This window comes from Homo sapiens, chromosome X (assembly GCF_000001405.40).
Source record: "Homo sapiens chromosome X, GRCh38.p14 Primary Assembly".
In the NCBI taxonomy this organism is placed as follows: domain Eukaryota; kingdom Metazoa; phylum Chordata; class Mammalia; order Primates; family Hominidae; genus Homo; species Homo sapiens.
This window is the reverse complement of record NC_000023.11, coordinates 87,770,137-87,792,468: the sequence shown is the minus strand read 5'-3', so window position 1 is coordinate 87,792,468 and position 22,332 is coordinate 87,770,137. Positions and strand designations below refer to the sequence as shown.

At 36.4% G+C, this 22,332-nt stretch overlaps 1 annotated feature.

Annotated features, from left to right (window-relative positions):
- Nucleotides 13,319-13,818: an enhancer, noted in NCBI's record as "H3K27ac hESC enhancer chrX:87033651-87034150 (GRCh37/hg19 assembly coordinates)". NCBI's record gives its function as "activates a minimal SCP1, AML or CMV promoter by ChIP-STARR-seq in primed H9 embryonic stem cells {active_cell/tissue: H9 hESC(primed)}" and the evidence as "EXISTENCE:reporter gene assay evidence [ECO:0000049][PMID:30033119]".

Below are 22,332 nucleotides of genomic sequence, written 5' to 3'. Positions count from 1 at the left end.
ATATGGTGAATAGATAACACATCTACACTGCTGGTGAGAATGTAAACTAGTTAACTACTATGGAAAATGGTGTGTAGATTCCAGAAAAAACTAAAAGTAGATCTACTGTTTGATTCAGCAATCCTGCTACTGGATATCTACCCAGAGGAAAAGAAGTCATTATACAAAAAAGATGCTTGCACATGCATGTTTATAGCAGCACAATTCGCAATTGCAAAAATATGGAACCAGCCCAAATGCCCATCAATCAATGAGTGGATAAAGAATATATATATATAAGAAAAATATATATGATATATATAAGATATATATATGATATATATAAGATATATATGATATATATAAGATATATATGATATATATATGATATATAAGATATATATATGATATATATCATATATATGATATATATGATATATATGATATATATGATATATATAAGATATATATGATATATAAGATATATATGATATATATAAGATATATATGATATATATGATATATATGATATATATAAGATATATCTATGATATATCTATAAGATATATATGATATATATATCTATGATATATCTATAAGATATATATGCTATATATAAGATATATATGATATATATAAGATATATATTATATATAAGATATATATGATATATATAAGATATATATTATATATAATATATATATGATATATATAAGATATATATATGATATATACAAGATATATATATATGATATATACATAATGGAATACTACTCAGCCATAAAAAGGAATGAATGAATGGCATTTGCAGCAACCTGGATTAAACTGGAGACTATTATTCTAAGTGAAGTAACTCAGGAATGGAAAACCAAACATCGCATGTGCTCCTTCATAAGTGGGAGCTAAGCTATGAGGATGCAAAGGCATAAGAATGACACAATAGACTTTGGAGAATGGGGGAAAGGAAGGGAGGGCAATGAGGGAGAAAAGACTACAAATTGGATTTAGTTTATACTGCTCAGGTGATGGGTACATCAAAATCACACAAATCACCACTAAAGAACTTACTCATGTAACCAAATACTGCCTGTTTCCCAAAAACCTACAGAAATAAAAAACTTTTTTAAAAAGGCTGTACTTTTACTCTGGGGCATTACTCAGATGGTGATGTGGTAATAGAGATATGGGATTCCCACAGATTTAGAGAGAATTGGAAATCGATGGAAAAATCTGACGAGAACTAAATAAGTTGGAGTTTTTGAGAAAATGCAAACCATAGGCATAAGCAACAGTTGTTTGTTTACCGGTCAGGTTTCCATTTTATTTTTGCTAGTTCAGAGATTGTTAAAAATATTCATGCATGAACAACTTTTTCAGCTACATGAAAAGAAGATGTTAGGATACTATTCCATGATATAATAACTCTAAGGAAGGTAGCTGCCATACAGGTAAAACAAGATGCCATAGAAAAACTATTATTTTGCTTTGATATTATATAAAATACATGGAGCAATTAACCGGGAACCTTCAGTGACACAGACAAGTGCCAAGACAATCAGACTTCAAGTCTTTCACAAACAAACTTTACTCAATCCTTGACTTCTTTACTCACTTTTGGAACTTGTATATTCATGTTATAGAGATCAAAGTGCTCAGATTAATTTTAATAATCTGCAAAGTTAGAAAGTTATCTTAATATTTAAGCATTGAATGGAGCCTGTTTATTTGTATTCAGTTGGTCATGTGTCTTAGTATTAACCAAGTCTGAGAAATCCCAGGAGTAGGATTGCTGGATCAAACAGTATATCTAATTTTAGTTCTTTCAGGAATCTACACACTGTTTTCCATAGTGGTTGTACTAGTTTACATTCTCATCAGTAGCGTAGATGTGTTCCCTTTTTGCCATATCCATGCCAATTTTGTGTATGAAAAACCTAACTCCATACATTAATCTTCTCGTTTTCTCTTGCTAATTTTCTCTTGTTACATGTCAATAAGATAGCTTGGAGTCGGTTTTTGATAAAATCTTCCCTTACTTTATTTTGGTTCGTTTGGTTCGCTCTTATGATTCCTGAATAAGCAAATTACCCTTCCCTCTCTGTGGTATAATTTATAGGTTTCAGAATTCTCATAAAAAATAAATCAAATCCATGTATCTTTCTTAGCATAGAAAAAACACTGTATTAAAATTAAAACCAACTTTATTTCTGCCTTTAAACCATTTTCTAATTCAAGTGTGGGAATTATAAAGCTGTCAATAGCCCAAAGAGTGCTTGCCATAATGAGGTTCAGAAATAGATTTTGTTACATTTTTTGACTAGTGAAAATTACAACTAAGTCCCAGAATATTCTGCTTTTGTCCGTACCCTCAGCAGCAAAGCCAGGGATCTGTTTTCAATTAAGATCCCTTTTCTTTCCTCTTTGTTTGAGGCACATAGGTAAATTGAGATACTAGCAATTTTTAGAATTTAATTATTAATGAGTTAATTTTAAAACTTTAGGTTACATTTCCTGAGCATTAAATGTTATTAATTGTAATATGGCATAAATTAAATGAGTGACTTTTAGACATTTTTTTTTAGTTAACCAACACAGTATAAACGAAATCTATTATTTGAAGCACTGAGAAAAAGTAATTTATTTTGAGAGAATTCTAGGGTGTTCTTCTATGATGAGCACCAAGATTTGATAGTATGGAACCAATGCTCACATTTTAAATCTTATATACAAAGAAACAAATCATCTTTTTCCTGTTGTAATCTAAATGAAGTTGAATGTGATTAAAGGTGGAAGGCAGGTTTGTATCACTGGCTGCAGAGCTCAACTAGTCTATTTTCAATCTATTCAACAAATGAGTGAGGGGTATGCATCAGAGATGTTGAGACTGCATACAGAATAATACAGGTCTATCATCTGCACAGCGCAAGAATTCTGGACCTTCACTGCTTGACACTTGATATTGTTTGGCTCTGTGTCCCCACCCAAATCTCACCTTGAAGTATAATAATCCCCATGTGTCATGGAGGGGACCCAGCGGGAGGTAATTGAATCATGAAGGCAGGTTTTTCTCATACCATTTTCGTGATAGTGAATAAGTCTAACAAGATCTGATGGTTTTATAAAGGAGGGTTCTCCTACATATGCACTCTTGCCTGCTGCCATGTAAGACATGGCTTTGCTCATCCTTCACTTTCCACCATGATTATGAGGCCTCCCCAACTATGTGAAACTGTGAGTCCACTAAACCTCTTTTTCTTTACAAATTACCCAGTCTCTGGTATGTCTTTATCAACAACATAAGTATGGACTAATATAGCAAATTGGTACCAGGAGTGGGGTACTACTATAAAGATACCCAAAAATATAAAAATGACTTTGGGTAACAGGCAGTGGTTGAAAGAGTTTAGAGGGCTGAAAAGAAGACAAAATAGTGGGAAAGTTTAAAACTTCCTAAAGATATGTTGAATGGCTTTGACCAAAATACTAATAATGATATGGACAATAAAGTCCAAGCTTAGGTGGTCTCAGATGAAGATGAATAACTTATTGGGAACTAGAACAAAGGTGACTCTTGTTGTACTTTAACAAAGAGACTGACAACATTGTGCCCCTGCCCTAGAGGTCTGTGGAACTTTGAACTTGAGAGAGATGATTTAGGGTATCTAACAGAAGAAATTTTTAAACAGCAAAACATTTGAGAGGAAACAGAACATAAAAGTTTAGAAAATTTACAGCCTGATGATACAATAAAAAAAGAAAATCCCATTTTCTGGAGAGAAATTCAAGCCTACTGCAGAAATTTACATAAGTAACTAAGAGCCAAATATTACTCACAAGGACAATAGAAAAAGTGTCTCCAGGATATGTCAGAGACCTTCAAGACAGCACCTCCCATCACAGGCCCCAGAGGCCTAGAAGGAAAAAATAATTCATGGGCTGGGCCCAGGGCCCTCCTGCTGTGTACAGCCTAGGGACTTGATACTCTACATCCCAGCCACTCCAGCCTAGACTAAAAGGGGCCAAGGTACAGCTCAGGCCATGGCTTCAGATGGTACCAGCCCCAAGCCTTGACAACTTCCATAGGGTGTCAAGCCTGTGGGTGCACAGAAGTCAAAAATTGAGTTTTGGGATCCTCAGCCTAGATTTCAGAGGATATAAAGAAACACCTAACACCTAGATATTCAGACAAAAGTTTACTACAGGGATGAAGCTTTCACGGAAAACCTCTACTAGGAAAGTACGGAAGAGAAATGTGGGTTTGGAGCCCCCAAACAGAATCCCCACTAGAACACTGCCTAATGAAACTGTGAGAAGATGGCCACTGTCATCCAGACACCAGAATGATAGACCCACCAAAAACTTATGCCATATGCCTATAAAACCTACAGACACTCAATGCCAGCCCATGAAAAAAAACTGAGAGGAAGACTGTACCCTACAATGCCACAGGAGCAGAACTGCCCAAGGCCATGGAAGCACAGCTCTTATATCAATGTGACCTGGATGTGAGACATGGAATCAAAGAGATCATTTTAAAACTTTAAGGTTTAACGACTGCCCTATTAGATTTCAGACTTACATCGGGCCTGTGACCTCTTTGCTTTGGCCAATTCTCCCATTTGGAATGGCTATATTTATCCAATGCCTGTACCCTCATTGTATCTAGGAAGTAACTAACTTACTTTTAACTTTATAGACTCATCGATGGAAGAGACTTGCCTAGTCTCAAGTGAGACCTTGAAGTATAGATTTTGAATTAATACTGAAATGAATTAGCACTTTGGGAGACAGATGAGAAGACATGATTAATTTTAAAATATGAGGACATGGGATTTGGGAGGGGCTAGGGGCAGAATAATATAGTTTGGCTCTGTGTCACCACCCAAATCCCACCTTGAATTATAATAATCTCCACCTGTCATGGGAGGGACCTGGTGAAAGGTAATTGAATCATGGAAGTGGGTTTTTCCCATACTGTTCTCGTGATAGTATATAAGTCTTATGAGATCTGATAATTTTGTAAAAGGGAGTTCCCCTACACACACTCACTTTCCTGCCACCATGTAAGACATACCTTTGTTTATCCTTCATTTCCGCCATGAGACCTTCCCAACCATGTGAAACTGTGAGTCCATTAAACCTCTTTTTTTATATAAATTACCCAATCTCAGGTATGTCTTTATTAACAACATGAGAATGGACTAATACAATACCAGAGCAATAGTATTTGTAAATTGAGAATTCTACCAGGAATCTGAACTATTCCATAGCCATGTTTTAAGTAGAAGAATAGTTAGTTTGCATGTTTAGTTACCTCCACAAGTAATTTCATTCAAAGCAAAATGATAAAATGTAAAAACCATGAAAGAATTTTAATTGACATTATCAATGTAAGTAGTTTAAAACTTAGACAATCAGTATATAAAAACTTCTGTGTATGTGTGTGTACAGTTCACAAAACTGACTACTTACAAACCAGTTGGTTTTGTTCAGTTGCTATTATCATGTTCACTCCAGTATTTCAGCATAGTATAATACAATACTTGTCAAATAAAGGAGGTTGAATAAATATATTTGAATTAATTCAATAAACATTTGTTAAGTGTAAATGTATCAAATATCAGGCACAAATTAAAACTTGTCAAAATGCTATGGAAATTTTATAATACTAAATATTTAAATAGCCATATAGTTTGCATTATTTAATAAAGGTGGACCTGAAAGAAGCTAGTTTTCTATTGGGACCTCACAAACATTCTTTCTAGATCTTCATGCTACCAGAATGCCCTACAGATGCCTTTGATATTTTAATTCTGAATTAATTCTTTGGATAGGAGGACTGATATGGTTTAGCTGTGTTGCCACTCAAATCTCATCTTCAATTCCCGTTCCCACCTGTTGTGGGAGGGACCTGGTGGGAGGTAACTGGATCATAGGGGCAGGTCTTTCCCATGGTGTTCTCACGGTGGTGGGTGGGTCTTATGAGATCTAATGGTATCATAAGGGGGAGTTTCCCTGCACAAGCTCTTTTTCTTTGCCTGTTGCCATCCATGTAAGATGTGACTTGCTTCTTGCCTTCTGCCATGGTTGTGAGGCTTCCCAGCTGCATGGAACTGTAAGTCCATTAAATATCTTTCTTTTGTAAATTGCCCATTCTTGGGTATGTCTTTATCAGCAACATGAAAACGGACTAATACAGGGTCTAAATGTGAAATTGCCCTGTCATCTGGCAGGTGGCAAGCTTTTATATGTTAAGGTACTCAGGTTGGACAGGAGAACAAATAATTTAAAAAAATAAAAATGTGACATATGGAACAAGGTAAATGTCTCCTTATGTTTCCAAATGAAGGTTTTTTAAAGATATACAAATATACTTGAGTTTTAGGTTTGACCAAAAAAATCATAGTTTGGTGCTGTGCAAATACTTATGTAGATATTCCAATAAAAGGGCTATAGGGAAGAATTTTAAAAGAATTTAAAATAGACTGAAGGATTATTAGGTGTTAATATAGTCTGGATATTTTTCTCCCCCAAATCTCATGTTGAAATGTGATCCCCAAGGTTAGAAGTGGGGTTTAGTGGAAGGTGTTTGGGTTATGGAGTTGCATGCCTTATGAAGGGCTTAGTGACTTCCTCATGGTAATGAGTGAGTTCTTGCTCTATTAATTCCTGAAAGAACTGGTTGTTTTAAAAAACTGGAACCTCTTTGCCTCTCTCTTGCTCTTTATATTGCTGTGTGACACACTGGCTCCCTTTGTCTTCCGCTATGAGTAAAAACTTCCTGAGGCCCTTACCAGAATCAGATGCTGATGCAGTGCTTTTTGTACAGTCTGCAAAACCATGAGCCAAATGAACCTCTTTTCTCTGTGTTACCCAGACTCTGGTATTCTTTTATTATATTGCAAATCAGACTGATACAGGTGTCTTCAGTAGAAAAAAAAAAGCTGTTTTCTTGAACACACTTCTGCTGGATTATCTAATTTTATGGAAATTGTGGGAGGTTTTTTGTCTTATTTTGTTTTGCATTCAGCTATTTTACAACTTCTAATTTATAAAAACCCCAGTTTCTTGTACTTTCACATGACTTCTCTCTGTGTTTCATTATTAATTAATGATTAAAATATAACATTTGACATGCGTTCATTTTGTATTTCTGTGAGGTTCATGGTTATGATCAATTACAATTTGTCCCTTTAAAGTTTTGGATGTTCCACAGAGATACCCAATAAATTTTTCTGGCAGAGTGAGATACATGGCATTGCTGTCAGAGAGTCCCGCATTATGGGATTAAGATCCTGCTCTTAAGATTGGTTAGGCTGAACCACATCAGTGTGTCTAGAGATAATTATTCATGCTACTAAGATAAGTCACTTCTGATAACTCTATTTAATGCCCTGTGAGACTTTCCAGTGTGGCTAATGAGAACAGGTACTACTCCTTGCTTTGTTAGAGTACGAGGTAGTTTTCCCTCTAAACATATTTGCTGCTTTTCTGCTATGCTACCCTCAGGTAGTTTATTTGTATACATATACTGATCAGTACTCCGCTGCATAATTATAGAGATTCTTTCCTTGTTTGAGAAGTCCTCACTCTTTGAAGTTCTCTCCCCTCTTGTACTGTGTCCTACAAACCCTAGCAGCCTTGGTCTCCCTAGACTCTCAGCTTCATCTCCTCTACTGAGGGGTTCTGCTGAATTCCATCTGGGTTTCCCCTCTGCTATGGTTTGGATCTTAGTTCCCCCTCATTTTAAAATTTGATCCCCAGTGTTGGAGGTGGCACCTAATAGGAGGTGTTTGAATCATGATGGTGGATCCCTCATGAATGGGTTGGTGCCATCTTCTTGGTAATTAGTGAGTACTCACTTTATTAGTTCCTATGAAAACTGGTTATTAAAAAGAGCCTGGTACCTCGCCCTTTTTCTCTCTTGCTTCCTCTTTTACCATGTAATTTCTGGACATGCTGGATCCTCTTTGTATTCCACCATGAGTGGAAGCAGCCTGTGGTCCTCATTAGGTGCAGAAGCCCAATCTTTAATTTTTACAGACACTGAAACTGTTAGTCAGATAAACCTATTTTCTTTATAAATTACATATCCTGAGATATTCCTTTATAGCAACACTAAATGGGCTAAGGTACACTCTATTCACAGCAGCCTAGAAAAACTCACAAGGCAATAAACCATGGAAATCGTAAGGCTCATTTTATTTCTTTTCTGTCTATGAGAGATCACTGTTCTCTTTACCTAATGTTTTGTCTCCTGAAAAATGTTTCATTTATTTTGTCTGTTGATTGGTTGTTTGGAGAGTAAATTTTCCTTTTTATAAACATTTTCTTTTTTTATAAACATTTAATAGTATTATCTGGCCCTTGGGGACAAAGAGAATGCTTTGGCTGAGTGCTTGTAGTGGCAGAGTATCCACTGCTGCAAGAATAAAAAGACTCAGTAATGAGATTTCTGGGTCAAATGGTATTTCTGTTTCTAGATGCTTGAGGAATCGCCACACTGTCTTCCACAATGGGGGAACTAATTTACAATCCCATCAACAGTATAAAAGCATTCCTATTTCTCTAACTCCTCTCCAGCATCTGTTGTTTCCTGACTTTTTAAAGATCACCATTCTAACTGGTGTGAGATGGTATCTCATTGTGACTTTGATTTGCATTTCTCTAATGACCAGTGATTATGAGTTTTTTTATATGTTTGTTTGTCGCATAAATGTCTTGTTTTGAGAAGTGTCTGTTCATATCATTTGCCCCTTTTCGATGGGGTCGTTTGCTTTTTTCTCATGAATTTGTTTAAGTTCCTTGTAGATTCTGAATGTTAGCCCTTTGTCAGATGGATAGATTACAAAATTTTCTCCGATTCTATAGGTTGCCGGCTCACTCTGATGGCACTTTCTTTTGCTGTGCAGAAGCTCTTTAGTTTAATTATATCCCATTTGTCAATTTTGGCTTTTGTTGCTATTGCTTTGGTGTTTTAGTTATTAAGTCTTTGCCCATGTCTATATCCTGAATGGCATTGCCTAGGTTTTCTTCTAGGGTTTTTATGGTTTCAGGTATTACATTTAAGTCTTTGATCCATCTTGAGTTAATTTTTGTATAAGGTGTAACAAAGGGGTCCAGTTTCAGTTCTGCATATGGCTAGCCAGTTCTCCCAACACCATTTATTAAATAGGGAATTCTTTCCTCATTGCTTATTTTTGTCAGGTTTGTCAAAGATCAGATGGTTGTAGATGTGTGGTGTTATTTCTGAGTAATCTGTTCTGTTCCACTGGTCTATATATCTGTTTTAGTACCAGTATCATTCTGTTTTGGTTACTGTAGCCTTGTAGTATAGTTTGCAGTCAGGGAGCATGATGCCTCCAGCTTTGTTCTTTTTGCTTAGGATTGTCTTGGCTATATGGGCTCTTTTTTGGTTCCATATGAAATTTAAAGTAGTTCTTTTCTAATTCTGTGAAGAAAGACAATGGTAGCCTGATAGGGATAGCATTGAATCTGTAAATTACTTTGGGCAGTATGGCCATTTTCACGATATTGATTCTTCCTATCCATGATCATGTAATGGCTTTCCATTTGTTTGTGTCCTCTCTTATTTCCTTAAGCATTGGTTTGTAGTTCTCCTTGAAGAGGTCCTTCACATCCCTTGTAAGTTGTATTCCTAGGTATTTTATTCTCTTCGTAGCAATTGTGAATGGGAGTTCACTCATAATTTGGCCCTCTGTTTGTCTATTATTGATGTATAGGAATGCTTGTGATTTTTGCACATTGATTTTGTATCCTGAGACTTTGCTGAAGTTGCTTATCAGCTTAAGGAGATTTTGGGCTGAGACAATGGGAATTTCTAAATATACAATCATGTCATCTGCAAACAGAGACAATTTGACTTCGTCTTTTCCTATTTGAATATGCTTTATTTCTTTCTCTTGGCTGATTGCCCTGGCCAGAAATTCCAATATTATGTTGAATAGGAGTGGTGAGAGAGGGAATCCTTGTGTTGTGCCGGTTTTCAAAGGGAATGCTTCCAGCTTTTGCCCATTCAGTATGATATTGGCTGTGAGTTTGTCATAAATAGCTCTTATTATTTTGAGATACGTTCCATCAATACCTAGTTTATTGAGAGTTTTTAGCATGAAGCGGTGTTGAATTTTATTGAAGGCCTTTTCTGCATCTATTGAGATAATCGTGTGGTTTTTGTCATTGGTTCTTTTATGTGATGTATTATGTTTACTGATTTGTGTATGTTGAACCAGGCTTGCTTCCTAGGGATTGAAGCCGACTTGATTGTGGTGGATAAGTTTTTGATGTGCTGCTGGATTCGGTTTGCCAGTATTTTATTGAGAATTTTTGCCACAATGTTCATCAGGGATATTAGCCTGAAATTTTCTTTTTTTGTTGTGTTTCTGCCAGGTTTTGGTATCAGGATGATGCTGGCCTCATAAAATGAGTTAGGAAGGGGTCCCTCTCTTTCTATTATTTGAAATAATTTCAGAAGGAATGGTACCAGCTCCTCTTTGAACCTCTGGTAGAATTCAGCTGTGAATCCATCTGATCCTGGGCTTTTTTTTGTTGGTAGGCTATTAATTACTGCCTCAATTTCAGAACTTGTTATTGGTATATTCAGGGATTTGACTTCTTCCTGGTTTAGTCTTGGGAGGGTGAATGTGTCCAGGAATTTATACATTTCTTCTAGACTATCTAGTTGATTTGCGTAGAGGTGTTTGTAGTATTTGCTAATGGTAGTTTGTATTTGTGTGGGATCAGTGGCGATATCCCCTTTATCATTTTTATTGTATCTATTTGATTCTTCTCTCTTTTCTTCCTTACTAATCTCACTAGCAGTCTATCTATTTTGTTAATCTTTTCAAAAAACCAGCTACTGGATTTATCGATGTTTTGAAGGGTCTTTCGTGTTTCTATCTCCTTCAGTTCTGCTCTGATCTTAGTTATTTCTTGTCTTCTGCTAGCTTTTGGATTTGTTTTTTCTTGCTTCTCTAGTTCTTTTAATTGTGATATTAGGGTGTCGATTTTAGATCTTTCTCACTTTCTCCTGTGGGCATTTAGGGCTATAAATTTTACTCTATAACTGTGACCCAGAGATTCTGGTACATTGTGTCCTCGTTCTCTTTGGTTTCAAAGAACTTATTTATTTCTGACTTCATTTCATTATTTACCCAGCAGTCATTCAGGAGCAGGTGTTCAGTTTCCATGTAGTTGTGTGGTTTTGAGTGAGTTTCTTTATCCTGAGTTCTAATTTGATCGCACTGTGGTCTGAGAGACAGTTGGTTATGATTTCCATTCTTTTGCATTTGCTGAGGAGTGTTTTACTTCCAATTATGTGGTAAATTTTAGAATAAGTGTGATGTGATGCTGGGAAGAATGTATACTCTGTTGATTTGGGGTGGAGAGTTGTGTAGATGTCTATTAGGTCTGCTTGGTCCAGACCTGAGTTCAAGTCCTGAATATCCTTGTTAATTTTCTGTCTGGTTATCTGTCTAATACTGACAGTGGGATGTTAAAGTCTCCCACTAGTATTGTGTGTAAGTCTAAGTCTCTTTGTAGGTCTCTAAGAGCTTGCTTTATGAACCTGGGTTCTTTTGTATTGGGTGCACATATATTTAGGTTAGCTCTTCTTGTTGCATTGATCTCTTTACCATTATGTGATGCCCTTCTTTGTCTTTTTTGATCTTTGTTGGTTTAAAGTCAGTTTTAACAGAGACTAGGATTGCAACCCCTGATTTTTTGTTTTTGTTTTCCATTTGCTTGGTAAATAATCCTCCATCCCTTTATTTTGAGCCTAAGTGTGTCTTTGAACATGAGCTGGGTCTCCTGAATACAGCACACCAATGGGTCTTGACTTTTTATCAAATTTGCCAGTCTGTGTCTTTTAATTGGGGCATTTAGCCAGTTTACATTTAAGGTTAATATTGTTATGTGTGAATTTGATCCTGACATTATGATGCTAGCTGGTTATTTTGCCTGTTAGTTGATGCAGTTTCTTCATAGAGTTGATGGTCTTTACAATTTGGTATGTTTTTGCAGTGGCTGGTGTAGGTTTTTTTCTTTTGATATTTAGTACTTCCTTCAGAAGCTCTTGTAAGGCAAGGCTGGTGGTGACAAAATCTCTCAGCTTTTGCTTGTCTGTGAAGGATTTTATTTCTCCTTCACTTATGAAGCTTAGTTCGCCTGGATATGAAATTCTGGGTTGAAAATTCTGTTCTTTAAGAATGTTGAATATTGGCCCCACTCTCTTCTGGCTTGTAGGGTTTCTGCAGAGAGATCTGCTGTTAGTCTGATGGGCTTCCCTTTGTGAGTAACCCAAGCTTTCTCTCTGGCTGCCCTTAACATTTTTTCCTTCATTTCAACCTTGGTGAATCTGATGATTATGTATCTTGGGGTTGCTCTTCTTGAGGTGTATCTTAGTGGTGTTCTCTGTATTTCCTGAATTGGAATGTTGGCCTGTCTTGCTAGGCTGGAGAAATTCTCCTAGATAATATCCTGAAGAATATTTTCCAACTTGGTTCCATTCTCCCCACCACTTTCCGGTACACCAATCAAATTAGGTTTGATCTTTTCACATAGTCCCATATTTCTTGGAGGCTTTGTTTGTTCCTTTTCATTCTTTTTTCTCTAATCTTGTCTTCATGCTTTATTTCATTAAGTTGATCTTCAATCTCTGATATCCTTTCTTCTGCTTGGTCGATTCGGCTATTGATACTTATGTATGCTTCTTGAAGCTCTCATGTTGTGTTTTTCAGCTCCATCACGTCATTTATTTTCTTCTCTAAACTGGTTATTCTAGTTAACAATTCCTCTATCCTTTTTTCAAGATTCTTAGCTTCCTTGCATTGGGTTAGAACATGCTCCTATAGCTCGGAGGAGTTTGTTATTACCCACCTTCTGAAGCCTACTTCTGTCAATTTGTCAAACTCATTCTATGTCCAGTTTTGTTCCCTTCCTGGCAGGGAATTGTGATCCTCTGGAGGAGAAGGGACATTCTGGCTTTTGGAATTTTCATCCTTTTTTTTGCTGTTTTTTCATCATCTTTGTGGATTTTTCTACCTTTGGTCTTTGAAGTTGATGATCTTCAGATGGGGTTTTTGTGTGGATGTCCTTTTTGTGGATGTTGATGCTATTCCTTTCTGTTTGTTAGCTTTCCTTCTAACAGGCGCCTCTGCTGCAGGTCTGCTGGAGTTTTCTGGAGGTCCACTCAAGACCCTGTTTGCCTGGGTATCACCAGTGGAGGCTGCAGAACAGCAAAGATTGCTGCCTATTTCTTCCTCTGGAAGCTTTGTCGCAGAGATGCACCCACCAGATGCCAGCCAGAGGTCCCCTATATGAGGTGTCTCTCGACTTCTGCCAGGAGACATCTCCCAGTCAGGAGACATTGGGGTCAGGGACCCAGTAGAGGAGGCAGTCTGTCCCTTAGCAGAGCTCGAGTGCTGTGCTGGCAGATCCGCTGCTCTCTTCAGAGATGGCAGGAAGGAACGTTTAAGTCTTCTGAAGCTGTGCCCACAGCCGCCCCCTTCCCCCAGGTGCTCCGTCCCTGGGAGATGGGAGTTTTGTCTTTAAGCCCCTGACTGGGGCTGCTGCCTTTCTTTCAGTGATGCCCTGCCAGAAGAGGAATAATCTAGAGAGGCAGTCTGGCTACAGCAGCTTTGCCAGGCTGCAGTGGGCTGCACCCAGTTCAAACTTCCTGTTGGCTTTGTTTACACTGTGAGGGGAAAACTGCCTACTCAAGCCTCAGTAATGGCGGATGCCCCTCCCCCCCACCAAGCTTGAGCATCCCAGGTTGACTTCAGACTGCTGTGCTGGCAGCGAGAATTTCAAGCCAGTGGATCTTAGCTTGCTGTGCTCCATAGGGGTGGGATTCACTGAACTAGATCACTTGGTTCTTTGGCTTCAGCCCCCTTTCCAGGGTAGTGAACAGACTGTCTCGCTGGAATTCCAGGCACCACTGAGGTATGAAAAAAAACTCCTGCTGCTAGCTGGGTGCCTGCCCAAATGGCTGCCCAGTTTTGTGCTTGAAACCCAGGGCGCTGGTGGTGTAGGCACCCAAGGGAATCTCCTGGTCTGCAGGTTATGAAGACTGAGGGAAAAGCATAGTATCTGGGCTGGAATGCACCATTCCTCATGGCACAGTCCCTCACAGCTTCCCTTGGCTAAGGGAGGGAGTTCCCTGACCCCCTGCGCTTCCCGAGTGAGGCAACGCCAGAAACTGCTTCAGCTCACCCTCTGTGGACTGCACCCACTGTCTAACCAGTTTCAATAAGATGAGCTGGGTACCTCAGTTGGAAATGCAGAAATAACTTGCCTTCTGCGTTGATCTCGCTGGGAGCTGCAGACCAGAGCTGTTCCTATTTGGCCATCTTGCTAGCCACACCTTTAGGATGTTTTCTACAACCAAGTCAGAGTGATCATATTTTATTTTTTAACTATAGCTAAAACACCACAATCAGACATAACTTGTTATAAGCCTTAGTTTGGAAGTGGTTTATTTCACCTTTGCTCATGTTGCTTTGCCAGTAATTCAGTCACATGACCCCAACTGACCTGCATGGGAGGATGGACAACGTATACATGACAAAGAGGAAACAGAATTTTTGGAGTACAACTAGCAGTCTGCCACAGTTATATCAGTTGACCAAAGGTGAATACTAATGACAATTGAAGTCGAAAGAGAGAGATTATTAGTTAAAATGATTCAGATAGAGTTCATGAATAAAATAGAACTTGAATAGAACCTTTAAGAATATGTGGAATTTTGGCCAGCCGCAGAAGCTTATGCCTGTAATCCCAGCACTTTGGGAGGCCGAGGCGGGCAGATCACTTGAGGCCAGGGGTTCAAGACCAGCCTGGCCAATATGGTGAAACCCCATCTCTACCAAAAATACAAAAATTAGCCAAGCGTGGCGGCACACAACTTTAATTCCAGCTATTTGGGAGGCTGAGGCAGGAGAATCGCTTGAAGCCAGGAGGTGGAGGTTGCAGTGAGGCAAGATCATGCCACTGCATTCCAGCCTGGGTGATAGAGTGACACTCCATCTCAAAAAAATAAAAAAAAAAATAAAAAGAATATGTGGAAAGAATATGTGGAATTCAGTTCAGTGGAGAGATGAGGAAAGACTAATGCAAGCATTCACTTACTAAATTAAATGCAGGCAATAAATGTTTAAAAATCCTTAAAGTAAATATGTAATAACAGATAGAGTTAAGTGTTAAGACAAAAAAATCAGAGTGGTATAAGTGGGAATAATGTGGGGGGTTAATTTAGATTGGAGTGGCAGGGAATGCCTACCTGATGAAGTACTATATAAGCTGATTTCTAAGAATCAGTGGAATTTCATCAGTGTAAGGTGTTCTTTCTTCATAGTGTTTTCTAATTAGTGCTATGAGTCAGATTGAAATAAGATTATACTGAGAATTGTCAAGGAAACTTCATGAGTTTGTGGTATTAGAAAGCACATAACTTGAGTTTGAGCCATGATTTGCTCCCTGACTCTCTGTGGCACTCTGAAGAAGCTATGCAACTTCGGTGTTTTGCAGTTATCTTACTAACATATGAGAGGACAAGGGCCAGAATTCTAGCTGCTTCAAAATGATAGATGAATATCTAATTCTAAAATTGAGTGACAATGTTGTAATACAATTTGATATATTGGAAAAAGTTTTTGCTTAATATAAAATTAAACAAAGAAAGGAAGAACCACACACCGATACTCAATTTACTAATCTATGAGGAATCAGTTTATCAGATTTGATTCACGCATGCACATATGTGTGTGTTAACAACTGCTTTTAAAATTTTTATGTATCTCTTCTATGCATTAAATTGGCTTATGCATTAAATTATTTCTACCTTGCCCTCTTAATGTATAAAACCATCTTCATTAGAGATATTACTTCAAATAAAATGAATTTTTCTTTTGGCTTGCTTTTACTTATTATACAGCAGTGCACTTATGATAAATATTTTTAACATCTCCAAAAAAATCTTAAAGAAAGCAATCAAATGTGTGAATTCTATATGCTCCCTTTATGATCCTCTGTGCTAGAATATGACAATAAAGTTCTAAGGCACGGCAGAATAAAAAAAATACAATAACCTTGGGTACCTGAAAAGCCACTCACCTGCCAACAACATCTGTCCTGGGAGGCTATATGAGCCAGAAATATATTTCTGTTGCATTTGAATATTACACTTTGTAATTTATACTTGTTACCACCTTATAATTTTATTTAATAGTTTCATGTGTTTGTTTCATTTGCCCACCTAGATCATTGCTTTAAGTTGAAGAGAAACAGGTTAGGGCTTTCTAAATTGTGAGCTTTATAATGACACTAATTTAATTTCAAACATATTTTATGTGACTCATAGTGTTAAACATGGCAATAAGCACAAAAAATAGCAAAATTATATCCAAATAAAAAAGAAAAATTTGTATAATTATATTGCATCATATTGGTCTCATATCGGTCAGCTGTTAAACCTAGCTGTTCCGTCAACTCAATTTATGGTATTTTCTCTGACTTATCTTAATTTATTTCATTCTGGATCCCAATCTTTATTCCCATTTCTACCTAGTTTTAGACGTTTTGACTATGTCTAAAGTATCTTTGCTAGAACTCTTCCTCTTATATTTGATTAGAGAAGTTAGCTCCTCCAAATTTGATCCCTGGAGCTGGGCATGGTGACTCATCCTGTAATCACAGAACTTTGGGAGGGCGAAGCCAGCAGATCACCAGAGGTCAGGAGTTTGAGACCAGCCTGGCCAACATGGTGAAACCCCGTCTCTACTAAACATACAAAAATTAGCCAGGTGTGGTGGTGGGCACCTGTAATCCCAGGTACTCAGGATGCTGAGGCAGCAGAATCACTTGAATATGGGAGGCAGAGGTTGCAGTGAGCTGAGATAGTGCCATTACACTCTAGCCTGGACAACAGAGCAACACTCCATCTCAAATTCAAAAAAGAAAATGATTCCTGGAGCTCTGTATGACATAACATATATAACTTTTGGCTGTTGTACTTTCTGGTTTCAGTTCAGATACCTATCCTTTCAGCTCTATTCCTTGGCAATCCATCATGATACCTGCCTTGGCTATTGCTCCTGAGCTGGCTAAACCCGCTTAAAAATTTGAGGGTGTAGGAGAGACAAGCAAAATATTGTTTAGATTTGATTGTTTAGATGGCTTCAGCAGAAATTTTGTTTAACTGACAACCTCTGAAGAATATTTATCTCTTGATGTTTGCAGTTTTCACAATATCAAATATATATGCAATTTTTTTTTTTTTTTTTTTTTAGACGGAGTCTCCCTCTGTCATCCAGGCTGGAGTGCAGTAGCGTGATCTCGGCTCACTGCAACCTCCGCCTCCTGGGTTCAAGTGATTCTCCCTGCCTCAGCCTCCCATGTAGCTGGGATTACAGGCACCCGCCACCATGCCCAGCTAATATTTGTATTTGTGTGTGTGTGTGTGTGTGTGTGTGTGTGTGTGTGTATTTTTTTTCTTTTCTTTTTTGAGACACAGTCTCGCTCTGTCGCCCAGACTGGAGTGCAGTGGCATGATCTCGGCTCATTGCAAACTCCACCTCCTGGGTTCAAACAGTTCTCTACCTCAGCCACACAAATAGCTGGGATTACAGGCGCCTGCCACCACGCCCAGCTAATTTGTTTGTATTTTTAGTAGAGACGGGGTTTCATCATCTTGGCCAGACTGGTCTTGAACTCCTGACCTCGTGATTCACCCTCCTTGGCCTCCCAAAGTGCTGGGATTACAGGCGTGAGCCACCACCTCCGGCCTAATTTTTGTATTTTTAGTAGAGACAAGGTTTTGCGACGTTGGCCAGGCTGGTTTCGAACTCCTGACCTTAGGTGATCCGCCCACCTCAGCCTCCCAAAGTACTGGGATTACAGGCATGAGCCACTGTGCCCAGGGTATATATGCAAATTTAAAGTAAAAAGTATAGACTATTCAGAACAGTGGGAGAAAAAATATATTTTGTTTACCTGGATATTTGATTACAATTTGAAAAGATATGCTTTTTGGTATAAGGCTAGATCATGAATGGTGACTTCTAAGCACCTTACATGCTGAACCAGAAAACCGAAGTCAATTTGAAGCATTTGAAATTGAAGATATGAGGAACATGCTATTATACACAGTGTAGATTTATGCAATTTTATGACTTTTTAATGACATTTTTGACCATATAATTCTGCACAGTTGAAGTTTATGCTGATTAAATTAGAGAATACAAAACTCAACAGATTTTATCCATAAACCATGCATTTTATTAGAAATAATGAAACTAACCTCTGATTTTACTGGCCACATGCATATAATTTGCTTGTAATTATGTTAAAAAGCTTTTGATATAACTATTACTAATAAATTCTTACATTGGCATTTAGGGCCCAAAGCCTTAAATTAAAATGAAATTAACCCACTTTTCCCTTTTCCCATTTTTAGCCACATTCTGTATAATAATGATGTTGATGATTGTTCTAAATTCGCAAGAGCCAATAAAAGACTATCAAAACATCAACCTTCCTCTAACATCACATTTGGTGATTACTATTGATGTAAATCCCAGGAGACTCTATTAGCACACTGCAGATAAAAACATTACTGTGATATGAGATAGCAGTATGGGAGTTTTTTCTCCATAATGGCCTGTGTCATGAAGAAAATGTTTGGAACATTGAGATTCACATTGTCAAATCAAGTGCAAAGTAGGACTCAGAATATTCAAATGTTATAAATTGAGATAAGAAGTTACATAATGAGAAACTCTGAGTTAATCTTTTATGTTTATTTTAATCTGAAACTTATGTGGATTCTGGATTTGTAAAACATTAGTCTTAAAACATCCTTATAGGGATAATATTTTCTTTTTCAATCATGATCTTTTAGCTGTGTTGATACATAAAAAGAAAAGATGGAAGGAAACTTTTAAAATTAAAATTGAACCAAACCAGAACATTAACCTGTGGGTTAATATTAATCTAATCCTGGAAAGCTTTGTATTTTCAACTTTTAAATCTGCTTAAAATAACTAGCCTTTTTCTCTAGTTTTCTGCCATTATACCTATTTAAATATAAAAATATACATTACAGCATAGAACATAAATATCATAAATGTACACTCATGATGGAGGTTAAAGTTTATCTTAAATAGGAAAGAACCAAAGACTGAAAGATGAATTCACACAAAGAGGGTTATGCTATACATAGAAATAAGTAATATTTTAACCACAAAAAGGTCACTTTTATAAGTAATCACTAGGATAATGTCCATATAACTATTTTCCTGCCCCAAGAAAGCTTCAGGCCCAGGCCTTTCAGATCTCAAAAAAGGGGAAATCTCTGAAAATTACTGGTGGCTTGATAAAAGAGGTATATTTGATGTCCCGACAATGATGACTTATTATTTTTAAGAAAATGTGTCTAGCAATCACACTTCTTGTTGTATAGCTGAAGGAAATGAAATCAGTATCTCAAAGAGATATCCACATTCTCATGTTAATTGCAGCATTATTCGTAATAGTCAGGACATGAAAACAACCTAAGTGTTCATCTACAAATAAAACATGCTGTGTGTGTGTATACACATACATACATATATATGTATATATACTAGAATATTATTCAGCCTCTAAAAAAATATTCTGCCACTTGTGACAACACAGATGAACCTGGATAACATTAAGTTTAATGAAATAGCCAGATACAGAAAGGTAATTGTTGCTTATTATCCCTTACATGTGGAATTTAAAATAGTTAAACTTAGAGAGACAGAGAATATAATGGTGGTTGCCAGGAGCTATGGGGTGGGGGAATTTGGCAGATGTTGTTCAAAGGATACAAATTTTCAGTTATGAGATGAATAAGTTTTACTAGATAGCTAATATACAGCATAGTATATTAATACTATGTATATTAATATATTTAATACACTTATTAACTATATGATAGTTAATACACTTATTAACTATATGATAGTTAATACACATATTAACTATATGATAGTTAATACACATATTAACTATATGATAGTTAATACACATATTAACTATATGATAGTTAATACACATATTAACTATATGATAGTTAATACACATATTAACTATATGATAGTTAATACACATATTAACTATATGATAGTTAATACACATATTAACTATATGATAGTTAATACACATATTAACTATATGATAGTTAATACACATATTAACTATATGATAGTTAATATAGTATATTAATATAGTTAATAACATTGTATTGTATACTAGAAATTTGCTAAGAGAGTAGATCTTAAGTGTTCTCAACAGACACACAAAAATGGTAACAATGCAAGGTGATGTATATGTTAATTATCTTGATTGTTGGAATTATTACATGAGGTTATATCAAATACCACACTGTACACTTTAAACACATATAATGTTTTATTTCTCAGTTATTCTTCAACAAAGCTGTAAGAAATGTGTCTACTTGATGGGATTGAAGCTAAAAGTTAATGGTAAATATTTTAGTTAGATTTTGTCATTTTCACTATCATTATTAATATTTGGAGCTAATCACTCTAGCAAGCTTATAAAACTATAAATGGTTTATACAAGTGCCATAAGTATCAAAAGAAGCTGTAGTATTATGACCAGTTAATAATAATTTGGGTCTTTACTGGAAAGCATTAGATATAAATGAATTAGTGTAATGAACAGACTTGCAATAAACCAAGAATGACATAGATAGGTAAAGGAGAGCATAACTGGAAATCTGAAATGAAATATAATTATATCATATTAATAATGCTTATGGTATTTATAGTGAGCGGTATTAAATGTTATTAAAATTAAGTAGCTATAAAATTTTCTAAATAGATTAATGCAATCATTGCATTAGGAAACTTGATCACTGTGTCCAAAAATGGAGCTATTGATTACTTCAGTATGAATAATCACTTATAATAATATAGTTAAATTGCCTATAGATAATATTTGAAGAAAAATGTCTTGTTAATGATTGTACAGAGGATGGAAAATACAGAGATCTGTTCAGATTGCAGTTAAGGAATCAAATAACATTTTTTAAAAAATTAAATTTTATTTGTTTGCTTGCTAAATCCTACATAATATTAGTAATGCAGCATAGCAAAGGCTATGCTATTAAAAAATGTGTATACTTGTCTAAATTCCTAACATAGGGAAAACAGTTTCTCTTACCTTTCCCTTCTCACTTAAAACAACTACACAAACATAAGTCAGTCAATAGAATGGTTATTAGTATCATTTTATGCTAACAAATTAAGATTACCTAAATAAAATTTTATACATATTTATCTACTGAAAAGTTTCAAAGTTTTCTGTACAAAGAGAAAGCATGCTCTTGGTAAGAGGAATTATACAACTTGTATTTGGGGGAGAATAGTTCAGAGTTGAAGGGCAGACCTAGATTAAGAAAAGTGGAAGAATAAATAAATAACTCTAAAGTGTGAATAATCAAAAAATATTTTATTAAATTCAAGATGTAGATCATAACATATTAGTTTAGGGTATAAATCGTTTTGATGAAAAATTATTCTATTTAATGAAAATGAGTCACAGACAGATGGAAGTCTCTGTTGAAAATATCACAACCCTCATGGAAGTCCAGGAAAAGGTGGTGACAATAAATACAGAGAAAAAGTAAAGACCTTTCTATTAGTCTGTTTTCACATGGCTATAGAGAAATAATTGAGACTGGGTAATATATAAAAGAAAGAGGTTTGACTCACAGCTCCCCATGGCTAGTGAGGCCTCAGGAAACTTATAGTCATGGTGGAAGGTGAAAGGGAAGCAAGCTTGGACCTTTTTACATGGCAGCAAGAGAAAGAAGTGTGTGAAGCAAAGGGGAAGCAAAGGTGAAGCAAAGGGGGAAGAACCCCTTATAAAACCATCAGATCTCATGAGAACTCACTCACTATCACAAGAACAGCATAGAAGAATCACCCCCAGGATTCAATCCCCTCCCACCAGGTTCCTCTCCAGACATGTGGGGAGTATGAGGATTACACTTAGAGATGAGATTTGGGTGGAGGCACAGATCCAAACCATGTAAACCTTTTTACTCAATTTTACACATCATTTGCTGTAATTACACTGATTCCTTCATTAAATTGATATTTTCCAATATCACCAGACAGTCTGAAGGACTCAAAATTATTTTATGTTAACTGAGTTTTTCAAACTAAGTCATGGGTGAATTTTATAGTGTAAACTGCTGCTATTTTAACCTGCTTAATAAATGTTATGTCTGTTAAAATTTTGATTTTTTTGAAACTGGAGCTTTCATTATCACTTTGATTAAAAAGT